This window comes from Homo sapiens, chromosome 3 (genome assembly GCF_000001405.40).
Source record: "Homo sapiens chromosome 3, GRCh38.p14 Primary Assembly".
In the NCBI taxonomy this organism is placed as follows: Eukaryota; Metazoa; Chordata; class Mammalia; order Primates; family Hominidae; genus Homo; species Homo sapiens.
Window position 1 is genome coordinate 108,966,933 of NC_000003.12, and position 14,560 is coordinate 108,981,492.

General features: G+C 38.2%; 1 protein-coding gene across 11 annotated transcripts in view; it reads right to left on the reverse strand.

The window, feature by feature from the left end:
- MORC1 (MORC family CW-type zinc finger 1) overlaps positions 1 to 14,560 on the reverse strand; it is a 159,887-nt gene that overhangs the window by 8,685 nt on the left and 136,642 nt on the right. For all 11 annotated transcript variants that reach the window (NM_014429.4, XM_005247362.3, XM_047447968.1 and 8 more), the window contains 3 exons: positions 12,583 to 12,735; positions 4,398 to 4,470; positions 2,737 to 2,790 (listed from right to left, as the gene is read on the reverse strand). In NM_014429.4, the coding sequence (NP_055244.3) occupies positions 2,737 to 2,790; positions 4,398 to 4,470; positions 12,583 to 12,735 (280 nt within the window). The remainder of the gene's footprint in view (positions 1 to 2,736; positions 2,791 to 4,397; positions 4,471 to 12,582; positions 12,736 to 14,560) is intronic.

A 14,560-nucleotide genomic window follows, 5' to 3' on the forward strand; every position in this document is an offset into this window, starting at 1 on the left:
TTATGAATCATCTACTACTACAATAGTAGTTATGAAAACCACTGTTGTGACCAAAGAAGCCAGTGACTTATGTAAGTTTCTCCCGTGCTTTGATGTGGCTCTCTTTATTAAATGCACACACCTTAAATCAAGTTGTTCTGTGTTTTGCTTACAAGATCTCATTTCAGTAGGAACTGCTGGTCTCCTGACTGTTTATCTCGCTTTGATTTTTTAATCCGACTTGTCCTGCATGTTAAGGGGATACTGCTCATCATCTATGCTAACTCTGTTCACCCTGAATAAACACATGTCTTATTCACTCTGGCTCCATTACTAATGGTGTAGACATTGGAAAAAATATTTAGAAACAGATATAAAACGGTATATATAAGCTTGGATAAACAGCTGTATGACAGTATAATTCTTAGCAAATTTCAAAGTTTTACAGTGCATTCAAATCAGAGTCCCCTAACCAGTAAGTGGAGAGCTACAGGAAGATCCAGGAGCCTTACAGATAAGCTCCTCAAGCTGACTGCCACAGACTTTCGGTTGGGACAATGAATTCCTGGTGGGCCAATACGCCAACCCATCTACCACACATACCCCACAGAAATATATTACTGTCAGCATCTCCTCAATATATGTCTCATGATGTAATGTCAGGTCTCTAGTAACTTAAAAATAATTTTTCTACACCAACAGGCTGAGAAGTTGTAATATACTTATTGCAAGTAATACATGTGACCTCTATCACAAAGATGAAGTATTCAAGTCTGGATGAGACTAAGATGAAATAGCCAGGTGTGGTGGTACAAGCCTGTAATCCTAGCCACTTCAAGGCTAAGCCAGGAGGACTGCTGGAACCCATGAGTTCAAGATCAGCCTGGGCAATGTAGCAAGATCCTATTTCAAGACAAAAACAAGCGACACGAAAATAGAGGGGGTGGGCAAAAAAAAGTTGAAAAAAAGTAGAATGAAAACAACTTTGGAGCGGGAAAAATCAGGCTCCAGTTCTGAATCTGATCATGACACTGGGATATTATCTTTCTGAATCTCTATTTCCTCATTGCTAAAAGAGATAGTGGTACCTACCTACCAAAGTTGTGAGGATAAATGTGTTAATATAGAAAAGACCTAGTTCAGTGCCTGGCAGCTCTAGTGGCTCCCAATCAATCAATCCCAGTTTTACATTATTGATGAAAATAATATTAGTGGTAGAACAGCATCAAAATATATTGAAAGTAAACTTTGTCTTTTATTCTTGTTAGGAAATGTTGACAAGTAACTCTTCAAACTGAAAATGTTCAGTTACTGCTTTTACAGCAAAATGTTATTCAAAAAATAAATTCACTTTTCAGTTGAACAGTAATGGGAGACCAATAATTACACCTCCCCTTTTATTTCCAGTTGTTTATCACCGTCCAGTTGATAGAAACATCAAAGGCAAACGTATGAACAAGGGTTGTTAAATTTAGGCCCAGTCTGAACTTTAAATACTGTGTGATACAGTCTTTGTAAGAAGGAATATGGTTTAGGTTCTACTTGTCAAGTTTGCCTAGTTGTATGTCTTTTGGGAATTTACTTCACCATTCTTTTTCACTTATAAAACAAGAATATTCAGATGTCTTCCATTGTAATTGCTTCTTGGACTTTTGGCTAAGATCAAATGCAAAGGTACTCCATTACCTATAAAAACTATGAGGCAGTGTCTCTGCTTAGAGTCATTCTTTGCACAACTCCAGGAAGGGCCAGTCACCTCTCAATCTTTACAGATTTTCATTATATGAGAGCTTTCTAAAGATGGCTGTAAACATAAGCATACAGAAGAAGATGCTAATGGATGCACTAATATGGAGCTAGTGATTAGGTGAGAAAGCACAGGTAAAGTGTCAACAAAGACCCAACATTTCAGTATTGATCCTGGTGTCAAAGTTCTTGACTACTCTGGCCTGTGCGATGAATCTGGGAATCTTCATGGCCATCCTGGCTCCAACATTCATCCCCTACATCAGCTTGGCCAAGTTCACATCTTGGAGTACCAGGGTTTTTTTTTTTATTATTAAGTGTAAAATAAGGGATTTGAGGACATATGATTTTTTGAGATACTTCTGTAGTAGAACTGAAGGGCACTCTGGACTCTTTCTCCCCCAGGAAATCCTTAAGGACTAGATACACAGCATTATTTGATAACTGTTAAAAAAAAATCTACCCAGAGGAAGAGAAAGGTTGTAAGGAAATACATAAAAATATTAATATCAGTGATCTTGGAATGGCTTGAGGCTATGGATGAATTTTTAAAAATTGCTTTTACTTCTTATATTAGCATTAATTACTTTTATGTCTACTTTTAGAATGGAAAAATCACTAACTTAAAAACTATTGATAAGGTACTTAAAAAACTCAGAGCGATATCAAATTGTTGGAAATAATTTAAAACTTTAAAATTTCTGCTTCAGTCTAGCATTTTGAGGATTCGGTGAAAATATTTCTTTAAAAGCTCAGAATGTCCTGTTTCCTATTCAAGATACAGTCCTACTCCAAGTGTTTCATAGCTTTATGTTATAGAAATGTTAGTATTTTAAAATTCAAAAATATGTTGCTTTATGACACCTGATAAGCTATACATTAATCTAAGTCTCGATAAGTGAATGCAAATTTGATTTCCTTTCAAACCTAACATTTGGAAATGTACATTATTTATCCTTTCGAACACAGGATCATTTAGAATATAAATGGTGATACTGAAAGGAAGCTTACCTGGTTGAAACACATTTTCAGCTTTTTGTTCATCTGCTCTGGGCACTGCTCCAGCTGTTTTCATAAATGATAATAGAACAGGATATTAGCTTTTAGAGAATGTGCTGTCTACAGCAGAGTTATATCACACAAGCATTGAGTATAAAAAGCATCAAAGCCTAGAACTGGCCAACATTGGTACTATGGGCCTTTTAAGTCTGGGTCTAATTAAATTAATTAACTAAATTATACTTTGCTTCCTTCCAAAAAAGGATTAAGTCAGCTTACATAAATGAATACAGCACAGTTAAAAAATTGTGCAGATACAAAACTCAAGGTGAAGGAAAATTAAGCGATAAAATAATAAATATTCAAAGGGAGATGTCGAGAGCGCAGCTGGAGTCTGGGTTTCTTGGAAGGGAGTGTCAGAGAAACAGATGGGGAAGTCACTGGCATGTGGGGGGTAGTATTAATATTTTAAAGTTAGAAATTAGACGAGGTTACCTAGAAACAGCATTTAATAGAGAAAAGAAAGTGGCCCAGGAATGAGCCTTCAGACATGCCAACATTGAGAAACCGTGTACAACAGGAGCTGCCACAAAGAAGATGGGAGGGAGGAAAGCAAAAAAAATAAAAATAAAAATAAATAAAAAATAAAATGGGCAGTGTGCAGTCACAGGAGCTACACAAAGAAGGTGCTTCAAGAAGGTGAAAGTGGTCACCTAGGTTGAAGGCCTCTGACAGGTCAGGTAAGAGTGACACTGCACTTATCAAGAGGTCACTGGTGGCCCTGACAAGAACAGTCATAGTTCAGCTGTGGAATCAGAAGCCCCACGGGAGAGGATGAGGTGAGAGTAGAGGGTAAAGAGGCAGAAACAATGATTACAGACTAGAAAATTAGGGATTGTGCCCAAGATCAGACTCATATAGTCCCTCTGTTGCATTCATAATTTGTGCTATTTTCACCAATACCAAGTGTATCCATCATCTCCACAGGCAACACCGAGCATGGAGGTGGAGAAAAGGCCTCCCACCCTCCTGCACTAGGCAGCTCTTCCCTCCACTTCTGCTGAGCAGCTTGTCAGGCATGTGCACCTCACTCAACTTCACCACAGCCCTGCGGGAGCCCTTTGTAGACTACTCACTGTTACTTAAGCATAGCCAATAGATGTGAGGCTTACTCTTTGCACCCCAAGCAGCTGTTCAAAGTTTTCTTTCCAATCACATCTGGTACTGTTCCTGAGAGGAGATTTGGTAAACACAATTTTCTTCATCTATCTCAGTGATGTCTTGGTGATTTCGGTAAGATTAGTGCTTTGGATACCTAATGTGCCTGACCTACCCAATCCTCAGCTCAGCTGCTCATAAGAAGCAGCTGAGGAGATGTATCTAAGGAACAGAAACTCTGTTTTTGGTGGGGGAGAGAGAAGTCAGGGACTATGTCCTGTTTCTTTTCATCTCTGCAACTATCTGTCTGTAAGATATTTTCCACCTTGTTTAACTCACAGCCACAATAATTTCAAATATAGCTTTAATTATGAATCACCATTTGGTATAAAGATGCTCATCTTTATTCACTTAAGCCACTCTAGGTCCTCTTATTGGAAACACTTTACATTTTTCTTCACTGAGATTCAGGCTATTCTATCATTCCCTCACAGTTCCAAAAAAAACCAGCTTACCTCACAACTTAATGCAGGTTCTTCCAATTCTGATGGTAGCTGATGCTCAGGAAAAAAATACAGAAGAATCTCCCTAGGAATACAAGCACAGCAGATATGGGAATATACTAGGATAACAGAGGTAGCACTCAACTGTCAGAACTGGGTTTGTCTCCTGGGTATTAAATATCCTGGCAAAGATGAACATTAGTTCCCCCCAAACATTTTGTTTTTATCACTGACATCAAAGTGTTCTTCAGAAAGCATAGACTGGGGAGAGGAAGGTGGGTGTGGCTATAAAAAGGCAATAGGAGGGACCATTCTGGCAAAGGAACTGGTCTGTATCTTGACTGCATCAATGTCAATATCCTGATTGTGATTCTGTTCCAGAGTTTTGCAAGAAGCTAGGTGAAGGGTACAGGGGATCTCTCAGCATTATTTCTTACAACTTAATGTGAACATACATTTATCTCAAAATAAAAAGGTTACTGAAAGAGGAAGGAAGGAAGGAAGGAAGGAAGGGAGGGAGGGAGGGAGGCAGGGAGGAGAAAAAAAAAGAAAAGAAACCAGCCAACCTCACAATGCCTCGCAATCCATGAACAACCAGTCCAGGAAAGGCCTGTACCTAGTTGAGTGTTCTCTTCTGCAGAGAACTCAGCATTGCAAATTTCCTGGAAGAAAGTAGGCTGACTACAGACTTACTGACTTTTTTCCTGAGAAAAACCAAAGAGTTTAAGTCTCCAGAGTAATTTTTGCATAAGGGACTCCAAGACTACTCTTAGAAATCATACATGGACCCTGCTCTTTCTAAACAGTGGTGGCCATTGTTCTGACAGGTGCTTCATTTTGTCAAAGGACAATAGCACCCATCCTTCTACTGTGACAGCTTTTCTAGGATTAATCACCTATATGACACATATTTCATTCCTGGGAGAATATGAGATCTAGAAATTTACAGCCACCACATCTTAAAGTGTATAGTATTCTAATGCTGACGTATTCCAAGAGCCTCATGTATATTATCTAAGGGATTTGCAAAATTTTTCCAGTTGTAAAATAATATGGTATACCAAAGAGAAAACAGCTCTTTCTTCCACAATTTATATTCCCCATACTTTAAGTATATTATTTGTATTAATACATATTTATAATTTCAAGGAGATTCAAACCGAAAAGCTGAAAATTCTTGGCATTGCCCAAACATTAAATATGACATACAACACTCCTTAGAGTTATTTGTCTGGCTAGCAAGAAGATAAATGGGGTAGGAACAGGATTTAAAAAAGGTGGAGCAGCTTCCAGGTATATGAGATGAGAAGAAATCATATGAAAAGAAAAGTTGCAACAGGAGTTCCTGGGAAAGAACACCTGGGTCAACACTACGGCCGTTTTGTTGGAGCAGGAGGGGTGAGAGACCTTTTACACAAACTAAACCTTGCTTCTCCTCAAATTCAGGCTCCCTTTCCCCACCACAGGCTTGAAACCTTTTCAGAGCATTGGTTCTTTCCATTGTGAGTATAAATTCTTTTGCCTTTAAATTTAGAGCAAATCAGAAATCCCCTAAGAAAACGCTCTTAGACAAATAAATATTAGATGGCAGCATTTACTAGGGAAGGGGAAAAACCAAAGGAGAAAATTGGGGTGAGAAAAAGTTCTGGATTAGTTCTCGATTACTTTCAATCTGTGGCATCTCTATTTCAAAATCTACAGCAAACATCATCTATAGTCTGAATACTGTCTTACACATGTACTATTATTTCTAAAATTAGACACATAATAGATATCTTTAAACACGATTTCATGTTTACTGAAATCACAGTACCTTTTGCCATTTTGCATTTTCTCAACTCATTAATTCCACAGACATTCTTTAAACCTCTACTAAAACACCTTTGACCTTCAGTGCCCCACAGAGCCTGGCATCATGCCCCCATGCCAGGAACCCAATACAATCTTACTGAACTGATTTGGCCTAGTGGGGCAATAGAGACAAGAAAGCAAGCTATTCCAATACCATGTGATAAATGCTTGGAGGACAATGAGAAAGGTGCACCATGGAGACCAGAAGAAGGGGTTCTAACTCATATTTCAGTAGTGATAAAGGAAGAGTGGGAGTTAGCCAGGTGTAGCAGATGGGGGCATGTGAAGGAAGTATTCCAGGCCACCTGCACCATACACCAGAGAATTTTGTATTTTTCTTTGGGAAAAAATCTGACCAAAAAGTTGGTCAGATTCAAGTATTTTTTCTTGGTGTTTTTTTGTTCGTTTTTTGTTTGCTTTGTTTTGGTTTTTTTTTTTTTTTTTCAGACTGAGTCTCACTCTGTTGCTGAGGCTGGAATGCAGTGGTGCGTGATCTCAGCTCACTGCATCCTCGGCCTCCTGGGCTCAAGTAATCCTCCCAACTCACCCACCTGAGTAGCTGGGATTACAGGCGCACGCCACCACACCCAGCTCATTTTTGTTATTTTTGTTTTAGAGATGGGGTTTTGCCATGTTGCCCAGGTCTCAAACTCCTGGGCTTAAGTGATCCACCCACCTTGGCCTCCCAAAGTTCTGGGATTACAGTCGTGAGCCACCGCACCCGGCCAATCCAACTATTCTTTATAAAGTACTAGAATTGTGCTAAGCACTGCTATCATTTTCTACACATAGTTTCATGTAATCTTTATGGAAACTCTTTGATTGAGGAATTATTCCTATTTTCTCTGATTTCCTGGCTATTACAGACACCCCCACCCCCCCACCAGGCCCAAGCAAGTTCCCTGGACCCTCCTTCAGTGTCTGTCTCCCTCCTGGACTCCCTGGTATTGAGCCTTTCACTCTCTTCCACATCAGATTGCTCCTAAATAGCTTCTCCCTTGGAGATTCTGGTCTGTAAGACTGACTAGAGAGGAAGACAAATTACCCAGCAACTTGCAGTCTCTAAACACAAACACACAGGCCTTTCCATTTTCCTGTAAAATTAATTCAGGAAAGCAATTAGATTCTGTAAAAACCTATAGGATACCAAAAATCACATACGTAGGGTCTGATTGTAGATGCTTAAGAACTCTTTAAAAATTACTTCAGTTTTATTGTCTTGAGTCCCTTTCTTGAATGATATTCTTCAGCAATACTTTCTTTGCTCTTGAGGGTACATCTTATCAAACCTCTCTCTATCCTCAAACTTGAGATTTCCCCTAGAACAGACACAGTGAGCCAGGAATCCATAAAGTACATTTAAAGGTGGGCCAGGAGACACGAAGCACAAAATTATAGGAATAAACCTGGATTCATTCACTAGTATCCACTGCATTAAGTAGATGCACTTGGGGCAACTCCTGAACCAAGTGCTGCCATTTCAATGGGACTTTTGTCCCACTTAGGAACAGGAATAGTCCTTCTCTTGAAGCATTTACTCAGAATTTTACGCCCAGAGTTGATAATAAAATCAGAAATTTGTCTTTGTTTAACATTGTCTTTCTTCTCAAGAATTCAAGAAATAAATATCTTAAAGATATCTTCCAAAGTTGTTACTTTCATTCAGAATCTTGGCTATGAAGCCCATCTCAGATGAATTTCTGTGGAATCCACATCTATATCTGCAAGTTTGAATTCAAAGTTTTTAGAGAGTTTAGTTAAGTGAGCTGAACCACTAAATCAACACCATCTCTACAAATTATGGCCAAGCTTTGAAAAGTTCCAGCTAAGGGCCATTTCCATTTCACTCCATAGTCATATTCCTTTCTCAACAAAATAATTTTTACTAAGAAAAATCTTTGACCCATGTTGATACAACTCTACTCTTTCTAAACATGGTAGACATGGGCAGGAGTCCATAGAGTTACCTGGTCATCCAGCTGTTCTTTTAAACAATAACCTAGTTAATTAGCTTAGTCCTAGCTGAGGAGAAGAGCAAGCCTCCTACTGGAGGTTGACCAAAACTGTCTTCCTTAACTCAGTAAAAGACTAGTATGAAATGGAAATGGCACAGTTGTAATAATGTTTTTTGGCAGACCTCAACTGCTAGTATATGTATTTTCATGGCCTTTTCCTTTAACAACTGGCAGAAATGTTAAAAAGTTACTTTCTTTTTAAAACTTTTTTTTGGTATTTTAAAAATCTAAGATAACAAAAAGCATGTTTATATTTTATAGAGATGAAATAAATGGAGTCTGCCTTATCAAGTTTACATACACAACAATAAACCAAAACAAGGCATTACATTTCAACAGTTAAGAGCAAGGACTGTGAGGTCAGATTGCCAGGGTTCAAATCCAAGCTCTGTCACTTAAGTGTTATATAATGCTAGGCAAATTACTTATCCTCTACATGTCTCAGTTTTCTCATCTGCAAAATGGTGATAATAAAAATATCTATTTATAGGATTGTTGTAAGATGACTGAGCTATCATATGCAAAGCCCTTAGGACTGTGCCTAGCATATAGTAAGTGCATAACAAATATGTATTATTACTAATATTATTGCTATTATTATTATTATTGAAAGAGATTTGAAATGTAATACTACTCCAATGTTTAGGATCATCTGATAAAATTTAATAGTCTGGAACCAGTTCAGCTTATGTACCACTAACTTAACACCACTCAGTTGCACTCCAATATTTAAAAGTATTTTAACATCCAGTAATACTATTTACTGCTTTTTACATGAATCCCTTTCAATTAAATTAAAAGTATTATTTAAATATATGCTGATATATGTTAGACATACTGTTGACAATTCAATCTGTTTTCAAAGATGTTACTTTATTTGGGAAGTCAACAAACTAATACACAAAAAGCAAGAAGTAATATAAGACAGGAAAATGCCTGACTGAGCATAATTAGGTAATGAGTATGTACAGTAAAAACTACATTTTTAATTAATTGTTAGCATTAATTACACAGAGATGGCCAGACACTACCTTGGCATTGTGGAAATTGATAAGGATGACGTCACGTCCAAAGTGACCCAAATGGAGGGAACACCCTTTATACTTCAAAGGTCTCTAACTACTACTCTTTTTTATCATGTGACAAGAAAGGTAAATATGGTAAACAATTCTGAGTATTTCTTTATACTTTATACCCTTTACATTGTACACAGCTGACCACAATCTTCATGCCTTGAAAAACTAAAAGTCTAGTAAATTCAAGAAATTACATGTGGACCAGATATAAAATAGCAAATAATACTACAAAAACAACAACAAGAAAAACAACAAAATACCTTACAAAGAAAACAAGAAATCTGTTTTCACTGGTGAAATTTGAGAAAACATACTACATGTTGCTGAAAGCAAAAGAGAAAACTGGTATGACAAGGAGCTCATTTTGTTTCAGTTAAATCCTGTGTTCTGTCCAAATTTTTTTATCATAGAATATTTTTAATAAAATAATCACCATACAAAATTTAAGCTGGTACAGAATAGAGCTGATATATTAACGCATTCAGCTTTCAGAGTGCTCAGTTGGTAACAGTATGATGATTCTAAGCAATAAAGAGTCTGCCTGTTCATTAGAGTTTCTGGGAAATTTTAATTTTCTAGTGATGCCTAATGATAGAAGTGGATGCAATTTAAAGTCTTAGTACACTCAATCAGATTATCCCCTTTTTGATCACATGTAACTCACTAAAATTAATAGAAATGTTACACTTAGACAAATAAAAATTAGCCAAGAAAAAAAATCAGGAAAATAATGAATTTGAAAAAGAAAGTTGATCTATCTGAAAAAGAAATTTAAGTAGCTATGCATCCAAACTCTGCTGCAACACACTCAGACAGGTCTCTCTAGGTCTCCTAGTGTGAAGAGAGGGTATATGCTATATATGATTAAGAGCATGGGATTCCAAATCAGAAAGCCTTGCCTTAAACCCCAGCCCCATCCTTCATATTTGTGTAATTGTCCATGAGACTTGTAATGTGTTAGTTCCTCCAAGTTTCAGTCTCCTCATCCATACACAATATTTAAAAATAACACCATTCTCATGAATTTGTGAGAATAGAAACTAATTTATAAAAAGTAAGTGGGTGGATGCCTGAAATATAATAAAGGTTCAAACCTGATAGCTATTATTGTTATAGCTATTATTGTTACTATTATTTTTATGGAGACAGGGTCTTGCTATGTTGCCCAGGCTGATCTCGAACTGCTTGTTCAAGCAATCCTCCCACCTTGGCCTCCCAAAGTACTGGGATAATAGGCATGAGCCACGGTGCCTGGTGTGATAGCTACTATTATTAAGAAGGCCTGATTCACTTGTAGTAATGTCCGAATAATTGAACATGTGGTCATATCTATACATTTTTAATGATACTCACATTTATTCAAATATATACAGGCACATGCATATAAAATTTACTGTATACTACTATGCTTTAGTGACCAACCAATAGGCCTGAATTTTAGGACCAGTAACATATCAGGGTTCAAATTTACAGCAATCCAACTTCAAAGCTGAGGACCTTAAATACCACTTCTAGAAAAATACAGGCAGAGGGTGGGAAACTAGTTAGAGAATCCCATTCTTTAGGGATTATACTGTAAGCTACAGCAGTATAATACTGACATCTATCTAGATCATTGGATAAGTGGCTTTTTTTTGAGATGGAGTCTTGCTCTGTCACCCAGGCTGGAGTGCAGTGGCGCGATCTCAGCTCACTGCAAGCTCCGCCTCCCGGGTTCACGCCATTCTCCTGCCTCAGCCTCCCTAGCAGCTGGGACTACAGGCGCCTGCCACCCTGACTGGCTAATTTTTTGTATTTTTAGTAGAGATGGGGTTTCACCGTGTTAGCCAGGATGGTCTCGATCTCCTGACCTCATGATCCGCCCACCTCGGCCTCCCAAAGTGCTGGGATTACAGGCATGAGCCACTGCGCCCGGCCAAGGCCTTTTTCAACCTTATAATGCCTGAACCATGCTGAGGTCTGGCCTGCTTTTGTCCCATTTCCAGGCTAGTGGAAGACTGCCAACCAGACCGAAAGGGATATTTGGTGGTCAGAACTTGGTGTTCTGGAATGTAGCAGTCTGTATTCATTGCTCCATCAACAACTTGTCTCTGGATCCCTAGTGTCAGTAGTGAAAATAGATCCCTCTACAAGGTCCTTCCACATGTAACCAGGAGTGCTTCCTCCCTCCTGGGGCAGGACTGGTGTTAGGCATGAGACAGCAGGTGGGGTCTTCATGCCCATGTAGTAATCACAGCCCTGCACTCTGGATGCTGCTACAAAGACTTTCACCACACCCATGGCATCTGTGGAATTGAGTTCAAGTCTACTGGGGTTAGCAGTCTCCTCTCATAAACAGGACCACAGCCTGGGCCTTAGTAGAGGCTACAGTCCCTATGTACGTGTTCTCCTCCACCTTTCTCTTTCTTCCTACCTGCTTCTACTGTTTGAGAACTCTCATCTTCAGGAAGATCATGTCAATCACTGACGAAAAAATCAAGTAGCTATCCTAAGGAAAAATACCATTCCAGGTAGGGCATGTTGTTTGTTTTCCCTGGCCCGAGCATCTCACCCCACACAAGACCCTTAAAACCCAACAAAAGTCTGTGGATCCCAACAAAACCAATGAGGTACATTAATTTAGTGGTGCTACCAGCCCCACCTCCCACCCTCCCATATGGCACCTATTTTAGAGCACAAGTCTGTATATAGACTTCTTTGACTTGATTTTAAGGCCCCCATCTATTATCAGTCTCTATTTGGAAAAACCCTGAATCATGAACTTTTTCCTCTCCTTGTCTCCATCCTTTGAGAAATGAGACCCAGACATTTAAATTCCTCAAATACCATGTCCACAAATGTTAACATTCTACACAGAACAAAACAAGTAAAACTCAATTTCCCTCAATAAGTTCAGTATCCAAGACTAAAACAAACCAAAAAAAACCCAGAGTTTTTAAAAGGCCATACAATGTCATAAGAGCCTTTGTTGGGGAAAAAAGAAAGAAAATTCAGTAAAAATTATTTATTACATTCAAGAGAAGACTAATGTCCACCATACTGCCAGACTATGTAACAACAGGCAGTTACCAGTTCTATTACAAGGGATATTTAACCCATAGTATATCTAAATCAGCATAGTTAGGAGACAAGTCATAATGTCACTCTACTGAATTTATTCAGTATCATTAAAACTCAGTAGGGAAAACAACAGGAGTTGTCACTGCTTAGAAAGTTAAACAAAGCATGTGGAAATATGTGAGTAAATATCTTTACCTTAACTTAGACTTCAGTTTTCTCACTGTTTCCTTGACAGGTGTGCTTTGAGAAGACGCTGGCGAAGAAGCAACTTTACAACTGCCACTCACAGAAACTCTGGCTATGTGTCCAGAACTTAGATTCACATCTTCCATCGGCACATTGAGCAAGCTGAGGTTTGTCATTTCAAAGTAGAAATCATGTTAGGTATTAATAATTTCAGAAACACTAATATACAAAAATGAGTGAAATGTTCATATACAACAAATGAGAACAAGAACATGCGTGTAATGCCGAAAACTGCCACCACTGTAGTTACATGAAACAAATTCTTAATTAGAAGAATTTATATTTATTCCAGTCACATATTTTTTTCAAAGTTTTTAGGTAGTGACAATTAAATGGAATTGGTGATAATTTATTTTTAACAGTAGTCATATACTACTTGTCTTTCACTTGATGAAAGAGACTTTTTAAACCTGTTAAACAACTATACAATATTTTTTGTAAGCCTCATGGTAACCATATGGCAAAAATCTACAATGGATATACTTAAAAAGCAACAAATTAAAACATACTGTAACCAAGTAGCCCCATTTTTCTAGGAAAAAGAAAATGAGTTACTATTATTTTTTATTTTCTCTTTTCTCCATTTCCCCATTCCCCACTTACCTACATAGTCCTTTAGAAATACAATTATAACCTTTTACCTCCCCTTCACCAGAAACTCCCTAGAGGGCAAGTTCATGTAACTTTATGCTTAGAAGCTCCAGAGTGGAACTTTCAGCCACCAGGAGACTGCCTCCAGAGGTAACAGTTGATTTACAATCCAAAGTCCCACTACGAAACTCTCTCCCACCTAGAGAGTTTTCAGCCACCTTTACAACCTATTTCTGCCCATGAAATGCTAACTCAACTGCCCAGTAGATAAGGCACCAAGCTAGCATGGGGACCCACACACCTGCTCACCTCCTCCCCTGAGGTGCCATTCATGATAGGCCCCCTTTAAAAGTGTCCACTTTCTGCTGCAAAGGTGAAGTGGTACCCTTAAGGCAGGAAGCCCATACTTCTTCCCCTAAGCTAGCTTTGGAATAAAAAGTCACTTTCTTTACACCAGACCTAGCTCTTGTTAATTAGACTCTGCAAGCAGTGGGCAAGTGAACCTGCGATGTGGTTACAATATTACCAGAAAAAATCACTTAACTAAGAATGCAAGAGACTTTTAAACTAAAGTTTATTTTAGCCTGAGAGAAAAGCATAGAATAAAACAGAAAAAGAACAAAGTAAGTTGAGAGAAATACTTAGTCATGATCTGGAAGAGGAAGAAGAATGTTCAGAGCTACTGGGCTGGAGTGAGCAGGAAGCAGATGGAAAGAGATGAGATGAGAACGGTCAGTGTTGGGATTGCAGGGCATCGTGGGCATGGGGAGGGAACTAGAGTTTCTTTGAAGCAGAGTGGGCACTACCATTGGAAGTTTTCAGGCATGGGAACAAGGTGATCTGATGCAGGTTTTAAAAAGATACATGGCTGCAGCATGAAAAATAACTCACGGTAAGGATGTATAGTTTGTTGATGAGACTAAAGCTTTCAGTACCATAGGGGGAAAAAAGTACAAGAGTCTGGGGGCAGTACGACATGGGAAATGGAGCTGGGGAGGGCAGGTAGAGGTCAGATCATGAAGGGTTTTGTTTGTCAAGTAATAAAAAGATTTTTTTTTGTAATCCTTTCATGCTGATGTCCATAAATTAAGATCACAGCTCTAGAGAATTTTACATGTTTATAAGATGAGGATCTTTTAAAATTGGATAACAGTTTATATCAAACGGAATGTGCTTCTACTGTCAACAGCTCTTTGGCATTAATTATACTGTCTAACTTTGCTGATTTTTTTAAGATTAAGAACATTATATAAACTAATGCTTAATTGCCTGTTAAAGAATATTTACACAATGTCTGAATGCTCATTAGTTATAACCTTCTTTATGCTGACACTTC